Source organism: Homo sapiens, chromosome 5 (assembly GCF_000001405.40).
Source record: "Homo sapiens chromosome 5, GRCh38.p14 Primary Assembly".
NCBI classification, from domain to species: domain Eukaryota; kingdom Metazoa; phylum Chordata; class Mammalia; order Primates; family Hominidae; genus Homo; species Homo sapiens.
The window spans coordinates 95,716,846-95,735,683 of record NC_000005.10 but is presented as its reverse complement, the minus strand read 5'-3'; the positions used below and the strand labels follow the sequence as shown (position 1 = coordinate 95,735,683).

Sequence of the window (18,838 nt, the reverse complement as noted above, 5' to 3'; positions counted from 1 at the left end):
CATTTGTCTTTTTATGTGGCCTTTGGTACACATTTCTAGGATGTAATAAAGCTAGATTAAGAAAATAGCTAGGTCTGACTAACAGGTCCAAAAGCTGTTGAGCTAAGAAAGTTCAAACTTTGAAATATGAGTCTAAAACAGGGTTAACAGTGTTTGAATCAGCCAACCAAGGTCTATGTGACAGAGCTTTTATCCTACGATGGCACATTCTGGAGGAGTATCACACAGCAATGCCCTTCTGAAGAGAGAGCTTCTTCTCATCAGTGCCTCCCCCAGTTCCCCATACCCTCCCAGCCACTCATTTCCCACAAGTACACTCAGAGTAACAAGAACTGCAGAATTTTTTGTCATGAATACCCTATCAAAACTGGGATGTGTACAGTATTTTTGAAGGGAGGTAAAAGAACCAAAAAAAAAAAAAAAAGGCAAAATATGGACTATAAACAACAAAGGCAAAGGGTTGAACTTGGTAGAGGGTGCAAGGGGGCAGAAGGGAAGTGGGACACAGTGCAGAAAAATGGGAAAGCTTCCCAGCAGAACTCTCAAACTGCCAAATCCCAAACCACACAGCTCATTCAGTTCCAACTGCATCTGTTACAGCGTTCAAGTTCAAAGTATCCAAGTATAACAGAGTGCGTAAGTATAACAAGGAAGACAAATGAGATAAAAAACTAAACAAAAGTGGGGCCAATATTAAGCAGCCATTTAACTCTGAGAGAATAAATCAAAAGTAGCTGCTTTTTGAATTCCAAATAGTTCAAAATTCCAGAGTTACTGGAGAGGTATCCGGGGAAGGGGAGGACCTTTAAGGGAAAATGTTATGAAAAAATGGGTCTGGGCATCCTTAACTCTGTGGGATTGAGGATGTGAAGACTATAAATACTTAATTTGTAATCCAAATCAGAGCTTCAAACCCTGCAAAGAAAACTGTAAATCTATTAAACTACCTCACTGCTTTTTGTGGAATATTTTTAATAAACAGTAAAAGATATAGAAACGTGAAATGAAATAATAATGTACCACACCAAAAAAACGGATGGGAAAGAGAGAGAAAGACACACTAAATAATGTGCTACATCTAATGAATCTGCAGCACATTTGTTTTAAAAGTGCCAAGTATATAAGGCAAGGATCCAGGGTAAGGCTAAGGATCTATAGAAGAGAACTAGGGAAGGGAAACACAGCTACCTCATTTCAACTTCAAGGCAACAACAACACATCTCTTCTCAAACTATGCCAAAGAGAAAATACTCCAAAGATTTCTAGAATTATGAAGAAAATCAAATTCTCCCACCCCTTGTAAATCAGTTCCAGGGTTTCCTCTCGGGGTTATGCAACACAAGGCTTGGAGCCACATTTGGAGAATTGAACTCATCTTTTAAAAAAAAAAATCTGAATTTCTACAGTGAAACTATTTTATTTTACTTGATTGTGGGGCTGCATGTATGAAGTATGAACATCGCTGCCCCAGTGTACTGGTACTGTAGTTGTATAAATCTTGAATGACCTGTGAAAATCTTACTTTTGCTTAGTATTAATATAAGTGATACATAACTAAAGTTGTAACACTTTATTTTTATATTAGCTACCACTTATAGAGCATCTACTAAATGCCAGCCTCTATACTTAGAACTTGACACGTGCTAGTTTCTCATTCACTTCTCAGCACAGCTTTAGGAGGCATATTATTTTATAGATAGGGAAAATAAGGCTGAGAGAAGGTAAGTGATTTAACAAGGACACACAGACCTGAAATGGCAATGTGGGAATCTGAAATCAGATCCTTTTGATATCAAAGGCTATGCTCTATCTGCTCTGCTATATTTAATATTCTGGTTCCGTACATACGTCAAATAACAGTTGATTAATGCAATCAGCTTTAGAATCTCTGATGGGCTTTACTTACCACCAAGTGAAGAAAAGCACCTTATAAAGAGCAACTCTAGAAATGGAATCTCATATCTGAAGATCATTATAACCTAGAAAATTGTACCTGGTTACAAACTTGGTGCCTTAAATAGGGCCAGAGTCTAACCAAACAAAAAGTTATTAGCAAGATAAACCATAACAACCAGCATATGGCAAAAATCCGTACTATAGAGGTTTATTTTCTCCATTTGGAAGATTTCATTTTACTAGACAAAGTGTATGGGATCACAAGCATTACTGTTTGCAAAATTAACAGTATAAACAGGAAAGTGTTAACAGCTCAAATTAAATACGGGAAAGCAATCCTAACATCCTAATGTAGCTAGTTTTATTTTCCCTACATTTACTCGATTCGCTAAACATTTATTCAACTGCATGTTGAACCGTCATGTTTTTAGGCTGTAAGATCTTTCACAACGAAAGATCCCAAGTAAAAGAAGTGTTTCATTTGCCTGCATAGACTCTGACCAGTAAGTTCTCCATCAATACTTCTTATGAACAGCATCATCACTATCATAACTAGGGGTTTAATAGTATCTCTTAATTGAAAAGGCCTGTTTTTTATTTTACCAAATTAACATAACTTTCTTCTTTAACTGAAAACTTACACGAGCGAGTGATCTTTTCGTTCTGTTATGTGGAACTTTGCATAAGAAATTTTTCCAAGTATATTCTACACATTTTTTAGAATGGCGTGATACTTTCCTATAGTCCTAATTCAGTTTTTTTAATATTGCTGTTTAAATGTGAAATCTTACACAACGATAATTTGTATCTTTTCAGGCACTAAACTTTCTTCTGTTATTAAATGTAACATTTAGCTGAAACATACGTAACTCCAATATCAGTAAAGAATCAAAGATTTTCAAATAAGACTAAAGGAAAACATTCAAACATAATGTTATTGTATGCTGAAAATATTTATATGTGTCAGAAAGTAAGTTCCTTTCTCCCTTAATCAAACACTCAAGAATCGGACTATAATTTATCCACTTCACTACTATTTTGTTCAATTATTACAAATTTTAATTTTTTAAAAGTTTTCCAAACAACATTAGTAATGTTATTTCTGATTTATGAGTCACTAAGACAAATGGCTAACACATAAAGAGTATTTGCATTATTAAAATTAAGTTTTCAGAGATCAATTAATAGTGCTATAAATGAGTCATTTAAAATTAACTCCCAGTCCCTGTCTTTTCCTCCGCTTTCCAGAGGAACTATTTCTGAACTGTCCCAGTGAAAAGTATTTTTGCCTGTGTTGAGCTTTGAGAGGGATGTATTTTTAGAACACCAATATTACACTATCACCCATAGGGTAGACATAAAAAAACACTGCTTTTTGCTGATGAAACTTAGTGACCCCGTCCCTTGGAGTTGGCACATTCAACTGTCTGCTGCCTACCAAGGGTCAACCCACAGTCGTGAAGTGTACCAGTAAGTGCTCCACATTCCCACTGGGGCCTTCTATCTTCCTAAGAGTGTTCTCTGACAGGGCTGTTCCCTGCCCAGTGAAACAAAGGACCAAAGATTTTCTCAAAAATGTTTAAAAATTTGACCCATGTAACGCGGACACTCCACACTCACGGAAGTGGGCAGAAGGGGGAGGGGGAAAAAAAAGGAAAGAAAAGCTTCTTCAGCCTCAGCGCGGAGCAGCTGCTCTTCCTTACCCAGACGGGACAGTCGTGGACCACCAGCTTGACATTCCCAAACGCACTGGCCTGATACTCGGTGAACACCGGACGCGCGACCGTGCTGGCCGCGTTCAGCAACAAGCTGCTCTCGTCCCCGGAGACCAGAGGGCTTCTCCCCAGGTAAGTGCGGATAAGCCCCGACGGCCGGTTGTCCTGGTGGAATGTGTCCCCCTCGTTCCCCAGCGCCACGATGTGGATGGACCTGCACGGACAGAGGGGGCGAGGGGAGAAGGGAAGCACGGTCAGCGCGCGGGTCTCTCCTCGGAACAGGAAGTGCGGGGGACAGCGCGCGGCGAGGATGGGCACCAGCCCCTGTCCCTGGGGCGCACGGCACGCGCTGGAGAGAGACAATGGCAGGACGGCGGCGCGTACGTACATGATCTCAAATCCAAGGGCAGGGCGGCGACTCGGAGAAAAGCAGCGGCTCACGGCTTCGCGGGGCCCCCGGGCGGCGAGTTCACCCGCAATCCGCTCATCCCCGGCCGCGTCCCCCTCGCGCGCCTCCACCGCGGCGGGGCCGACGCAGAGCGGGGCCGGGGCCGCGCCAGCCAGCGAGCGAGCCGGGGACCAGGGCGGGCTAGCGGGCGGGGGATAAGCTGCCGCTACTCAGGGAGTGCCCGGGAACATCGCCGGGCGCGGGACCGCCGCACAGCCCCAAGTGGACGCAGCTGACCGCAGTCCCCTCTCCGCCGCGCCTCCTCGGCTGGCAGCTGTCGCCTCCTGCTGCCGCTGCCGCTGCTCCTCCTCCTCTAAGCAGAGAAGGGGGGTCGGGGAGATCGGGGCCTCCGCCCCCTCAGCGGACCGGGCGCAGCACGTGCCAGCCCCGGGGGTCGGGCGGATGCGGGGGACGCGCTCCCCGCGGAGGCCCCGGGAGCTCCGGTGGCGGCGGCTGGACACAAAGGAGCCGCCCGCGCGGGGCGCCGCGGAATATAAATTAATAAATACAACGCCCCAGCCCGAGAGCTCCCAGCCGCCAATCCGCCTGCAGCAAGTTTGTTCAACTCGCAAGGCCGTAACCAGAGCCAGGAAAGGGGGGTGGGGCGATGGGGCCCCCGCTCACTCCGGACTGGAAAAAGGAGGTTAGGGAAGCTAGGGATTCCAGCCCGAGTGCCGCCCCAGCAACCCGATTTCCCCCCCTCTTGGCCTTGACCGAAAGTGCTTTACCACGTCTGCCGCTTTCTCATTTGTCAACATGCGCTACAGCTGTTTTCTAAAATCATACTTGTGAGAAAAAATAAAGGCAACATTCATGCTGCTGCAGAAAGAGTTCTTTGTTCACACACCAATTAATTTGCTAATGTCGCCTTGGGGGGATTATTTACTATTTCAAGCTATATTTAGCGTATTTTACCGAAAACTTCAGGATTTTAAATGCTGGGATTTTTAGTGTGATCGTTTTTAAAGGAAGTTATGTATGGGGGTTTAACGTGTTGGTAAGTTAAATGCCAGTTTACTTGGAGATTTTTCTGTACACGTTATGGCCACATATTTAATAATAGCTCCGCAGACCAACTGAAAACATAATCACGTAAATGCAAAGATACTTTAGATTCTTTCATAATAATGCACTGAAGTAAAGGCTATGAATATCCCTAACGTGCTTCAAACTACCTCGATACAAACGAACACTGGGATCCACTTACTAACACCAAAATGGGCCAGGGATTACTCTGGGGTTAGACTCCTCCATACAGTATTAAAATTCTAACCAGTACCTTACTCTGTGTTGAAAAGAGTTCTTGCTTATCCTTTTATCTGTTTATTTTTCCCTTCTGTAAAATTGGACTGTTTCTTTTCTCAGCTGAGCTATTTTGAGGGTATGAAAGAGGGGGTATTGAGTAGGGCAGTAAAAAAACTAGGGCAACAGCTTTTTATTATGGGCCCTTATTGCTCGGTTGAAAGTAGTTTAATAGTTTCTCGTGCTCAGAGAGGATATAATGGGAGATATTCTTTATGTGGTCACTGTTTTTTTTTTTAATCTAATTTCCCTTTGCATTTTCTACGATTTCTCTTTGAGTCTCTAGAACCTAAACCATCCTTAAAAATTCCAGCATGCAAGATCACTTTTTCTCTTGGGTTAATAGAAAATATATTTTCTCATCAGTCTTTTCCGGAAACCCATAAGTCAAAAACAAAGACACTAGAATGGATGAATGGATAAAGAAAATGTGGTATACACATGTAATGGATGATTAGCGTTTAAAAAAGAAGAAAATTCCTTCATAAACTACAACATGGATGAACCTTGAGGACCTTGTGCTAAGTGGAATCAGCCAGTTGCAAATCACAAAAAGTGATTCCATTTATATGAAGTATCTAAAGTAGTCAAACTCTTAGAAACAGAAAGTAGAATCATGGTTACCAGGGGCTGGGGAGAGGGGAAAAGGGGGCGTTGTTCAACAGGTATAGTGTTTCAGGTTTGCAGGAAGAAAAAGTTACAGAGATCTGTTGCATGAGGTGCATATATAGTTCGTACTATACTGAACTATAGAACTGAACGCTAGAACATTGTTAACTAAACACTAGAGCGTGTACTGAACACTAGAACATGATTAACATGGTAACTATTGTTATATTTTATGACAATATAAAAATATTAATACAAAAATGAAACAAAAATAGACACCAAAGTTGCTGACAACTTGGAAGTGTCAGAAAGGGAGAAAGTATTCATTTTTTCCTTAGTTACTCAATAGGTGAGCCAAGCCTGTGCTGGGTAGGCATAGGAGATCCCAAGGTACATAAGACTTGGTCATTGACCTTAAGAAGCTAAAGCAATTTGTTACCAGAAAGGGGTCCCAATCCTGACTCCAAAAGAGAGTTCTTGGACCTCCAGCGAAGAATTCAGGGCAAGTCCATAAAGTGAAAGCCAGTTTATTAAGAAAGTAAAGGAATAAAATAATGGCTACTCCATAGGCAGAGCAGTGTCATGGGCTGCTCGACTGAGTATACTTATAGTTATTTCTTGATTATATGCTAAACAAGGGGTGGATTATTCATGAGTTTTTCTGGAAAGGGTGGGCATTTCCCAGAACTGAGAGTTCCTCTGCTTTTTAGACCATATAGGGTAACTTCCTGACATTGCCGTGACATTTGTAGACTCATTGTGCTGGTGGAGTGTCTTTTAGCATGCTAGTGCATTATAATTAGCATATAATGAGCAGTGAGGTTGACCAGAGGTCACTGTCACCACCATCTTGGTTTTGGTGGGTTTTGGCCGGCTTCTTTACGGCATTCTGTTTTATCAGCAAGGTCTTTGTGACCTGTATCCTGTGCTGACCTCCTATCTCATCCTGTGGCTAAGAATGCCTAACCTCCTAGGAATGCAGCCCAGTAGGTTTCAGCCTTAGTGTACCCAGCCTCTACTCAAGATGGAGTCATTCTGGTTCAGACCCCTCTGACATATTAATTAGTTTGTGAATATTAGCACACTCAATCCTTTTGAAAACATTCTAGTTCCTAGACCTAGGCCTAGGCAGTCAGTAAAAGAGATAGGTACAAAGGCAGTCAGTAAAAGAGATAGGTACAAAGTAAAAGATAAGTTCAGTGAATGTTAGGAAGAGATCTGTGCTTTCTGTGTCAGAAGTTCATAAAGAAAGTAAACATTGTCTTAGGTCTTAATAGATTAAGAATTTGTTAGATTTGGAAGAAGAGGAGGTTAGAAGGGAAGGAGTATTTCAAAGAACTGGACAGACATCACATGCAAAGGTATAAAGAAATGGAAGATCATGGCTTGTCTTAGGAACAGCAAGAGATGAAGTTAGTGCTGGCATGAAGGTTTCTATATTAAAGCAGGCAGAAAAAAGAGTGGTGGAGGCTTCCCAAGAGATTTCTGGAGTCATACCTGGTGATACTTAAGCTACAAATTGAGTATCTGGTACAAAGCCTGGCTACATACTCACCAAACCTGTTTTCTCTTCCAAGATAGCTAAATGACGTTTCTCAACTTTTGTGCATATAGGTAGGGCCACATGATTAGTTCTCATCAACGGAATATGATCCCTGCTGAGCAGTAGAGAAGTGTGTCTCTCCATTCTCTTTTATCTTCCTGTCTCAACCACATGAAGTCAGGTCAACCTTGAAGCCAGGTGTTTGAAGCTATTAGCACTGCAGTGTGGAACCAGTCCTTGAATGACTAGTTACAGCAGAGCCTCCTCACAGAATGCATTGTACTGTGATTTGAGTGATAAATAGATATTCAGTGAGTTGAGCCAGACATTTTGAGGTCAATTATTACAGCAGTTAGTGTTATTTATCTTGGCTAAAAGAATATCACAGATGGTCCATTTCCTGATATCCTAAAGATCTTTTCATAATTTTCTTATGACCACTTTTTTAAAGTTATTTCCCTTGTATTTTAAATTTTTATTTGGTTTATGTATTTGCAGTTTCTCTCATCAGCACATTTAAAAAATTTTATTTTACCAGTGTTAACAGAACAGATATCACATGTCCTCCAACCTCAAGGTCACTGGGGAACACACAGGAAGGGCTTCCAACCCAAACAATATTTTTTTCCTATTTTAGTGGCTGAAATGCCACCATTTCATATTTACTCTATTAGATGTTTTTATCCCTAAATAAGATGTAGCATAAAGTACAGTAAGGACATGTAAAGTAATTCAGTGGGCTATTACTAGTCCCCAAATTGTGAATATTCATATACCAGTTTTTGAAAAACGTGTTGGTTCCTTAACAGCTGGAGAGGAAGTAAGCATTGGTGAGGGCAGGCCTAGAGATCTCGGCTTGGCAGAAGATTTTTTCCAACTATGTTTTAAGGAAAACTAGGTTTGCATAGAAGAATCTTCAAATCAGCTTGAGGAGGTGGCAGAAAAAGAGTAAGCAGTGAGATCTGAACTCTGACAAAGGCATCTTAAAGCCAATCAGAGCAGTCTTATTGCTGTCTTTTAAAAAAATATTAAAGTTTCATATTCATTTTCATTAAAAAGATGGGTTTTCTAAGGTTAAAAACAAACGCAATTTTTAAGACTACTTATCTAGAGCCAGAGTCTTCAAGGTGGGGTACAGAAGATGATCCCTGAAATTCCAGAATAAACTTCTAATCACACACATTATTTTTTACTGAAAAAAAAAAGGGGGGAAACGAAATTAAGCTTTACTACTAGTTAATGTTGGGATTGATGCTGGTACCCCAGGTTGACCAGTAAGTGGGCAGATACAAGGAGTGTTGGGGGCATGGCAGCAATAGGATACACAGTGAGGGGCAGCGGGAGGGCTGCCTCCTTTGTTCACTTTCAATATATTGCCACATGTTGCAGTTTCTGTTTCTAAGGAGACTTATGAATGATATTTAAGTAAACTACTGTTACAGCAGGAACCAAGGGAGACAGTGTTAAAAATGCAAGCACAAGCAAAAACCCCCAGCCAAGCTGATGTTTCTGATACTCTTTGGGAGCCACATTGCAAGGTAAAAAACCGACGACTAATCAGATTTGCCAAGAAGTTGACCAAAATAATGGATTATAAAGAACACTGTTTTAAGTATGAATTTACAACCATTCTTGCTAACATTGATTTCACCCTAAGTGCATATTATAGTTAATAGACAATGATATTCTGAACTGATTACAATTAGCTAGCAACTTAAAAACTAAACACCAAAGTATTGAAGGCGAATTCAATAAAGTTTCTAGCATGTTTAAGTAGTGTACTATATACAAGTCAATACTTCCAAGAAAAGTCACCAAGAATAAATGCTACAAAGTCTCTTCTGAGCTGTCTTAAAAATGAAAGTCAAAAAGCAACACACTCTTAGTTTTCTTCTTGCCAAGATAAAAATATCTAAAATAATACATAGAACGCAAATGGAAAAAAACAACTGCATTCCTTTGTTAGCAAATACCTTGAGAATATTCACATGAAGTTTTGCTAAAATTCCAGTCATAAGTATTTGAACAAGTTAAACAATGTGGGAAGTTTACTATAAGGTTAAACTGAAAGCACAGATGTTTTTAATATGTTCCACTTTATGGTATTTGAGAAATTCTGTTTCAGTGTAGTATTTACTACATTGTGTTCCAATAAATGAAATACATTTTGAAATAACTTTTTTGTGATCCACTAAAGAAAAGCTGTAGTAGAGAAGACATATTTTCTCTTCTACATCTTTTGACAATACTGTAAACAATAATTGACTGTTTAAAAATAAAAACTGTGTTTTATGCAAAACTTCTTTACATGTAACCACTGATGGATTAGTTGTTTTGACTAAACATTCAAAAAAAAAAAAAAGAAGAATTCCAAGCTAACATTACAATGAGAGCAACCACATGAAATTCATTCACAGCCTATCTCCTATGCAATTTATTCTAACAAAGAAGTTGGAGGCAGAATACACAGCACTGTAAGAGGTTATACAAGTAGTAAATTTTGTGGAAACAAGAATTTTATAGCAGCTTGAAAAAGTTTTTGTTGTGCAATACAACACACAAAAAAAGTGCAGAAAAGTTATGCAGATGATTTAATAAATAATTATAAAATAAACATTCCTAAAATCTCTCAGGTCAAAAATGAGAACATTCTCAGGGCTCACGCAAAGGCGTGCGCTTGTGTGTGTGCACACATGACGCCCCTCTTCAGCTACAGCCCTCTTCCTCTTTCCCTCAGAGATAATGAGCCTGGCTTTTGTAATGATTATTCATTTTTCATTAGATTTTTACAACCTCTATGTGCATTCCTAAACAGATCTTTTGGTTTTGCTTCCTTTTGAACTCTTTCTAAGTGGGATCACACTGTAGGTATTTGTGCCTTGATTCTTTTATTCATCATCATTTGTAAGATTCAATGGTGTTGATGTAGCTGTGGTTTGTTTTTCTCCTTTTCATTGCTGAATAGCATCCAATGAAAATATATGCCACCATTTATTTATCCATCCCATTGTAGATACACTCGTGGGCTATTCCCAGGTTTTTGCCTATTATAAACAAAGCTGCTAGGATCACTTTTGCTTCAAAATGTAGTATATTTGTGGGTGTGCTAGGTCACATGGCATGTGTATGTCCAGGGTTCTACACATAATTTTTTTTTTTTTAAGACATGGGGTCTCACTTTTTTGACTAGGCTAGACTCAATTGATTCTCTCACCTCAGCCTCCCAAGTAGCTGGGACTACAGGTGCATGCCACCATGCCCAGCTCCATAATTCTTTATATACTTAAGTATACTTACCATGTACCAGGCATTACATTAAGTGCTTTGCAAATTTTGACTCATTTAATTCTCACAGCCACCCTATGGAGTAGGTTCTATTATTATCCTAATTTACTGGAGAGAAAATGGGGCACAAAGAGGTTAAGAAACTTGGCCACCTGAAAAAAGAGGCAAGAAACTTGTGGATTACCTGTGGTCAGGCGTTCGAAACCAGCCTGGCCAACATGTTGAAACCCCGTCTCTACTAAAAATACAAAAATTAGCCGGGCGTGGTGGTGGGAGCTTGTAATCCCAGCTACCCAAGTAGGGAGTAGAGGAGCTGGGATTCCAATTCAGACAATTGGCCCCAGGGTCTGTGCCCTTACCCAGTGTTTGAAACTAACTCCTTCATTATGTAATGTTTGTGATTGAAAACAATGCATGTAACCTACAAAAACTCTTCTATCTTATAGAATTTTCTAACTCCCCAAACATTTTCCAAATATAATTTCAGTCAGTTCTGAAACTATGTGTTAAACATGTAAAAATGTATTACACTTCTGATTAGTTTCAGAAACAGATGAGTAACATTTTGCAAGCGGGAAATATATTCATCAAATATCAACAAAAACCTTTGCATAATGGGACTGAAAAATGAGAGTCATGAAGCAGCTCTTCATTAAATTCCACATATCTTTTTAAGTTCTTTTCAGAGAGCCTTTAAATAAACTAATCATAAAACCAGATAACTGTATTGCTGTGTCATGAAGTATAAACCAAGATTTTAAAATGAGACATATTCAATTATCCTTCTCCCTGTAAAGCTTTATTCACAATAACTTTTGAGAGGAAAATTTCATAATGTATGTATCGTTATCAAATGACGTATCACCATTAATACATTAAACTATGATTGATTTGATCTTTATCTCATCTATTAAAAATTTTCTGTTTGTGTTTTATTGTATTCTTAGTAACATATGCATGTAATTTATAGCCCTTGGGAGTGTGCTCACATTTTTTCCTGATGGGGTGCTCGGTCAAAAAAGTTCAGAGACTCCTGGCTGGTGCTTTGGGCTGTGCTCTGGAGGACAAGCTTAGAGACAGCACAGTGAAGCTGGGACTGCCAGGATGCAGAACACAGCACTGGGGCTGGCTACTGTGGTAAGGGAGGCTGCGAGACAGGAAGTAAAGGAGAGATAGGGAAAAGCAACACAGATAAGCTGCAGACTCACTTGCCTAGAAATCAGCTCTGTGAAAAATGTATTTGTATTGTTTTAACTAATCTAATGGGAGATAAAGTGTGCAAATTTACACAAAATTTATAAAATTCAAGATTAGCTTTTTAAAAAAACAAACAAACAAACAAAAAACAACAAGAGTTTGCACGTACTTCATGAGAGTAACTAAGCAAAGTCATTCACCAAAGCCAATAACCATTTAGTCAGTCTTCAGCAAAGCTGACTTTACTCATTTTATTCCCTGGGTCATTCTTCCCAGAGAAGGAGACTACAGTCTTCTTCTAAATTGTCAATTTCTTTTAAATTGCAAGGCTGTAATCTCAGTTGTGTTTGCAGAAGTCCAAGTGAGAATCTAGAGTAAGCTTGTCCAACCTGTGGCCTAAGGGCCGCATGTGGCCCAGGATGGCTTTGAATGTGGCCCAACACAAATTTTTGAACTTTCTTAAAACATTATGAGATTTTTATTTTTTTGCTATCTTTTTTTTTTTAAGTTCATCAGCTATCGTTGGTGTTAGTGTAGTTTATGTGTGGCCCAAGACAATTCTTTTTCTTCCAGTGTGGCCCAGGGAAGCCCTGATCTAGAATGTTATGTACATGTGAAATCCAGCTATCCTAAACTCTTTCAGAAAATGTCTATGTTTGTTTCTTTGTTTGAATTTCTGTTATCCACCCACCTCTATCATTGTGCTCAGTGATGTTTTTAAAACAACTGTTTGGTTTTACAGTTAAAATATTACTTAAAAATAGCAGAACATATGTTTCTTTGAATCAGAACTCCCTGTTTCTACTAGTATTTTTCGAAGGGTTGAACTCCAAAGAAATCTGGTAATCTGGCCTTTAATATGCCTGCTCTGTTATTTAGCTCTTGAAAAGCGATAAGACTCTTTTAGGCTGGGCGCAGTGGCTCACGCCTATAATCCCAGCACTTTGGGAAGCCGAGGTGGGAGGATCAACAGGAGTTCAAGACCAGCCTGGCCAACAAGGTGAAACCCTGCCTCTACTAAAAATACAAAAATTAGCCGGGCATGGTGGCGGGAGCCTGTAGTCCCAGCTACTTGGGAGGCTGAGGCAGGAGAATTGCTTGAACCCAGGAGGCGGAGGTTGCGTGAGCCGAGGTCACGCCACTGAACTGCAGCCCAGGTGACAGAGCGAGACTCCATCTCAAAAAAAAAACCTCTTTTACATTATAAAATACCACCCCCAGGGATGTATATAAATAAATACAAGTATTATTATCAAGCACCATTGATTGTGTATTATGCAGTTATGCATAATTTTTTGGAAGTTTTCCATTTGTAATCATACAGAAATACAGTATGTTAGAGTTAAGTGGTATAATACTTTGCTGGTATATCTTCTTTCCAACAAACTCTAATATATTAAAAAATAGATTTTGTTCAGTATTGCTATAATTTGGCTCATGTTTTAACTGTACTAAAAGCCTTCCCCATCTCCTGCACTCCCTTTGCTTGCTGTGTTGTTTACATGCATCTCTGCTATGGCCATCCATTGGGTACTATCCCAGCTGGCACGTTTTACAAATATGCTTAGAAATGTTCTCCTTTTTTATTCAGAAGCTATCACAGATCATTTCCCCTGACCTCATCTGCCCTCACACAATACATTTGGTCCTCATTTTTCTCAACTTGTTTATAACTTTTCACTTCTCACTCTATAATCCTGTCTACAGTTAAAAATGATTTTACAGTTAATAGTAATCAAAATTTTCTTAGAGATTTTTCCTTTTTTGAGAAAAGCCCTGCTAATGCCATTATATATTAGGTTGGCAGTTCTACCCCTCATGAATAGTCCTTTTGGCATTCTAATAGATCACCTAGCTGAAACATTTAACAATTTTGGCTTATCTTACAGACATTTTTTCACTTTCTGTTTTTTTCCTGCTGATTACTCTCTCCTGAGATTCCCTTGGACACATTCTTACTTATTCTGATCTTCATGTTCCTTTTTTTTTTTTTTTAATGCTCTCAGTAGAATCAGATATTCCTCTTTAGAGCTCCTTAAATATTTAAAATATTAAGCTGGGACCTCAGTAATATCTCTGATTGATATTCTCTCCTCTTTTACCTTCAAATTAAAACATATGCATTTGTGTAATCATTACCATCTTTCCAGCTATACTACTAGTTTCTTTCCCCTGGCTATATTTAGCCAGATCCAAACCCCCTGCCCAGTCAGTAACTGTCACAACTCCGACAAGGCCCATTCTGTTTCTGCTAATGAAGGAGTGTTTTCAATGTTCATCTTCAGCATGTTCTTGTGTTACCAGCTCCCTCCAGTTCTAGGACCTGGGTAGGACAAGGACACTCTCCATCTACATTAAAAGACACTTAGACCTTTCTCAGTGATGTGATAAGTACGGACAGCCAAGCAAAGATCCTTCTGGACTAATTTCAGTGGCAAGCAGAGCTTTTCAAACTTCTCCACTAAGTTAGAGATACCTGAAAAAAGCCTCCACTATTCCCATCCCTAAAATCTCATTCAGGCTGCAACGTAAATAGTGCAGTGCAAGCCCAGATTTCTTCAAAATCTTGCCAAGGTTTTTTGCCTTTAAGTCATAGTGTATCCTTATTGATTTAATATAAAAATAAGGATTAATTACCACCGGGTAAAATTAAGGGATGTGTCATGTTTAGACTGTGACTTTTCTTTTATATACTTTGGTTTACCACCATAGAAACTGACAAATCATAAGAAGAACCCATTAAATTCTAAAGAGCCAGAAAATCCTTTTCTTCGGTAAAATATGGCAACAAATGACATTTTGTTGAACAAGTTAGTGCACAGTTCTTTTTGTAGGTGAACAGAAACAAAAGAATAATCAGTCGTTACTAGAATGCTTGTCATATTGGCAAAAATCTGTTTTTACTGATTATTATGTCTAACTCTTCAGAATCATGGGAAAAGTCTACGAGTCTATCTATGAACAAAAAGAATGAGACACTCAGAAATGTGAAGCCCTGGTATAACATAAGAAGCAGTGACGTATAATGTAATACAAACAAAACAGACCAAAAAAAAAAAGCAGAGTTTACTTTGCTTCATTTTGTTTCAGCACAAGCATTGTAGTACTCATTAGCTTTAGCCTTGAAATGGAACAGTCTGTTACTAGGCCACCACCCACAAACAGGCACAAATTGTACACTATTAGTAACTCTCCATGCTAGACTCTAGAATTAGGAGACATTTTCAACCAGTGCATTTTATTAACTCACTATGATCTAATATAAATTCCTCAGTCCTTTTGCATTAACTATGATTACAACAACGTTTTGCTAATGATCCCCATCATAATCTCAAATATTTTTATTGCAGGAAGTGAATTGATCTAAATAGAGTCACTATTCTAAACAACTGAGCTAGAAATGTCATGGGGAGAGGCCAGCTGGGCTGCTCAGGCTGGCCTCAGGATGACATTGCCTCTTAAGTCACATTATCCAAGGCTCATTCTTCAGTTTTGCAAGTCCAGAAACTTTATTTTGTCAAGGTGCCCAGGGTTGATCACACTCAGGGGACTAGGTTTGTCTCAATCCAATGCACAAGAGGCCAATGTGTAAACTAGAATACTAATTTGCTCATTTGTAATGAGACTCTCGACTATTAAAGGGGTAGAAACTTATAATAGGTAGCAAACACTGTCTTCCCTTATAGGAAAGTCTACATGGGAAGCCCATTATTATCTTTTCAGTTCAACAGACATTTTTTAAGCACCTGGAGTACAGGTCATTTTGATCCCAAGGATGTTTTGTGTCTATAAACACTTTTATTAGAACTATACCAACACCGAGTTATCACAGAGAGATATCATTTCCAGAGCAAACTGCATTAAGCCAATTTATGCCTTGACCAATTTTCTAAAATTTTCTCTTCTGATTGGCAGGTTCAGCCATTTAGGAAAGATTGGTGACCTATCTGCATGATGGCATTAACTACAAGGATCATCGAAGAGCCACAGTCACAAAGCCAGTCTCTGAATATGGTTCAAAGAAATCTTATAACTCTCTGAACAGGTATGCAAATAATTGCATGTAATGTATATATGTTTTTTACTATTAGATTCTCATATCAAGTAGTGATGTAAAAACTTGGAATCTCCAGAGCTAGACCAATACTGCTCACTACCCAGTATCAGGGTATTACTAAAATGAATTCTTGAAAATTTTAGAGCCAGTTTAACCTAACTTGCCCCATTCCCTGATATCCTTATTACAGGCCCAGCTGTAACTTATCTTGGCCATCTAGGTTTACCCATCTAGGTTTACCCATGCTTTGCTTCCTGCGGAATCTTTCTAGTTCACCTTCTGGAATTCCAATCTGGGTAGAGAGGGAGAGTCAGTTAATTACTCTTTCATCCTCCTGAAGCACTTCTGTTCTTCTGAGATTCAAGGAAGACATTTACTATACTCCCGTCTGTCTCTCTCCAGTTGCTGTCATTTAGCAACCTCCCAGTCAACCACCTAACCTCATTCCGGAACCTCAACACACACATTGTTCATTAAATGCTCAGTATCTAGCCTCTGTCTTTCTCTCGACCCCAGATATGTCCATGTTCTCTATGATCTCAATGTCTTCATGAACTCCTCAACATCTCAGCCCCTTTTTCCATGATGACCTTCACCTCCCCTCCACTTTATACCTCCTTACCATGGGCAAATCCTAGATAATATCACTGCCTACAACAGCTCCACATCTAAAACAACACATTCAGTTATCCAACAACTTGGACAAGCAGCCTTCTACCCTGTTTCCATCATCCAGTTGTTCCCTGCTTGTGCTCTCCTGGGACCTCCTAACTCTTGATCCTCCTGCTTTCTCCCTCTCTGCTAGACCTCTTCTGTCTTCGTTTTCTTCCCTATCCAACTGAGATTTCATGCTGCATCTCTTGTCTGTTCTCATAGCCCCATTCTATTGCTTTTCAGTCTAAAACCCCAACCCTGGATCAACCTTAGTGTGTGATTTTTCGATTCCCATATCTGGGTTGTAAAATATTGCTGTAGAAAATCTCAAAATAGTGCATATTGATGGCACTATAAATTCATGGCCTCCAACTTCAATTGAGCATTTGGTATTGCCTGGCTCTCCAAAGTGGTTCCAGTCTTCTCACTTACCCCTGTCTCTAACTTGGATATCTCTTCCCTCAGTCTCATGTTTTCTGTCAGAGAAAACGGAGGCATCAGCTGGGGAACTTCCCTCAGCTTCCCACAATTAGCTAACAAATTTGCATGTAGCCACATCCGTTCTTTACTTTTTCCTCCAGTCAAAATTCAATAAGAATGCCTTATCTGATTTCAGGCTGATCCCTCTGATAGTGCCTTGTGTAGACCTTTTAACTTGCAGGGACTGTACTGCATCTACTTCCCCTTTCTTCTCCCCTGTCTTCAACTCTTATCTCTCTACTGCTCTTGCTGTTAGCATTTAAACATATGCAAGTCTCTAGCTATTATTCTTTCTTCCCCATACGGCTAGAAGCAACTTTTTTTAAAAGAAAAAAAAAGAGGGAAAGTATCTTTTAGTTCAGGTTTATTTAACTTTTTCACTTGTTAAGACTTGTATAATGGTCCATAACATACTTTCTAGTGTTTAAAGCTAACTGGTTTTAAATGCTACAAAATTGCTCACCTGGAAAATTATTTACCACTTACCATTCAAATATTTTATAAGTTCTTAGTTGCTCAGCATTGTTTTCTTCTTTAAACTTTTAAATTACAAAATATACAAAAGGCATAAAACATAAATGTATAGTTTAATGAATAACTATAAACCAAATACCTGCTTAACTGTCATTTAGATCAAGGAAATAACCCCATCCTATATGTCCCTTCTAAATCAATCTTCTCACCCTTCTAGAGACAACCACCATCCTGAATTTTATTATAATGATTCCTCACCTTTTCTTTTAACCCTTTGTTTGTCCCTCCAGGCCCGTTCTTCCTCTTCTCCATCCTGCTCCATCCACTGGGAAGCTAGCTTGTATATCGACAGATTCCTTTGGCCTCTGGCTTCTAGTTAGGTTTAGTCAATGCAGAGATCAGAGGCAGCAGAATGAGACAGGATATTTTCTTCCCCTGGCTCCTCCCCTTCAGAGTCTCCTTTGTCACCAACTGTATTAGCTGAGTTATCTGGAGTAATAGAACCAACATGATGTGTGTATATATATGTGTGTGTGTAGTGTGTGTGTATATACAAACATATACATACATGTATATAATGTAAATAGATACGTGTGTGTGTACCCACACACATATGCACACATATACACACACATATCTATATATTGAGAGAGAGACAGAGAGAGATTTATTTTAAGGAATTGGCTCATGCAATTGTGGAGACTCAAATAAATCCACAGTCTACAGGATAGGCTGGCAGGCTGGAGACCTAGGGAAAAGTTGCAGTTTGAGTTCAAAGGCAGTCTGCTGGCTGAAATCCTTCTTGGTTGAGGGAGGACAATCTTTATTCTGTTAAGGCCTTCGGCTGATTTGATGAGTCCCATCCACATTACGGAGGGTAATCTGCTTTATTCAAAGTCCAGCAATTTAAATGTTAATCTCATTCAAAAAATACCTTCACAGAAGCAACCGAATATATGGACCCCATGACCCAGCTGTATTAGTCTGTTCTCATGCTGCTAATAAAGACATACCTGAGACTGCATAATTTATAAAGGGAAGAGGTTTAATGGACTCACAATCATGGCAGAAGGTGAAGGAGCAAAGGCATGTCTTACATGGTGGCAGGTAAGAGAACATGTGCAGGAGAATTGCCCTTTATAAAACCATCAGATCTCATGAGACTTATTCACTATCAT

The 18,838-nt window shown here is 39.4% G+C and overlaps 2 protein-coding genes across 5 annotated transcripts in view, besides 4 other annotated features; one reads left to right on the top strand and one right to left on the bottom strand.

Moving 5' to 3' along the window:
- RHOBTB3 (Rho related BTB domain containing 3) overlaps positions 1-18,060 on the bottom strand; it is a 78,738-nt gene extending 60,678 nt beyond the window's left edge. For 2 of the 3 annotated variants that reach the window (NM_014899.4, XM_011543279.3), the window contains exons 1-2: positions 4,000-4,348; positions 3,600-3,825 (exon numbers count right to left, since the gene is read on the bottom strand). In NM_014899.4, coding sequence (NP_055714.3) covers positions 3,600-3,825; positions 4,000-4,001 — 228 coding nt within the window. In that variant the 5' untranslated portion in view covers positions 4,002-4,348. Of the gene's footprint in view, positions 1-3,599; positions 3,826-3,999; positions 4,349-17,918 lie in introns of those variants that run through there. The other variant, XM_017009237.2, reaches the window with a different exon arrangement.
- Positions 3,582-18,838, top strand: part of SPATA9 (spermatogenesis associated 9) — a 79,922-nt gene continuing 64,665 nt past the window's right edge. Inside the window, exons 1-3 of one of the 2 annotated variants that reach the window (XM_047417809.1) lie at positions 3,582-3,991; positions 15,911-16,040; positions 18,603-18,767. The gene's annotated coding sequence lies outside the window, so the exon portion shown is untranslated. The remainder of the gene's footprint in view (positions 3,992-15,910; positions 16,041-18,602; positions 18,768-18,838) is intronic. The other variant, NM_001349303.2, reaches the window with a different exon arrangement.
- Positions 3,986-4,365: a silencer, noted in NCBI's record as "silent region_16187". NCBI's record gives its function as "represses an Ori minimal core promoter by ATAC-STARR-seq in GM12878 lymphoblastoid cells {active_cell/tissue: GM12878}" and the evidence as "EXISTENCE:reporter gene assay evidence [ECO:0000049][PMID:35858748]".
- Positions 4,426-4,555: a silencer, noted in NCBI's record as "silent region_16186". NCBI's record gives its function as "represses an Ori minimal core promoter by ATAC-STARR-seq in GM12878 lymphoblastoid cells {active_cell/tissue: GM12878}" and the evidence as "EXISTENCE:reporter gene assay evidence [ECO:0000049][PMID:35858748]".
- Positions 4,716-4,925: an enhancer, noted in NCBI's record as "active region_22800". NCBI's record gives its function as "activates an Ori minimal core promoter by ATAC-STARR-seq in GM12878 lymphoblastoid cells {active_cell/tissue: GM12878}" and the evidence as "EXISTENCE:reporter gene assay evidence [ECO:0000049][PMID:35858748]".
- Positions 7,581-7,750: an enhancer, noted in NCBI's record as "active region_22799". NCBI's record gives its function as "activates an Ori minimal core promoter by ATAC-STARR-seq in GM12878 lymphoblastoid cells {active_cell/tissue: GM12878}" and the evidence as "EXISTENCE:reporter gene assay evidence [ECO:0000049][PMID:35858748]".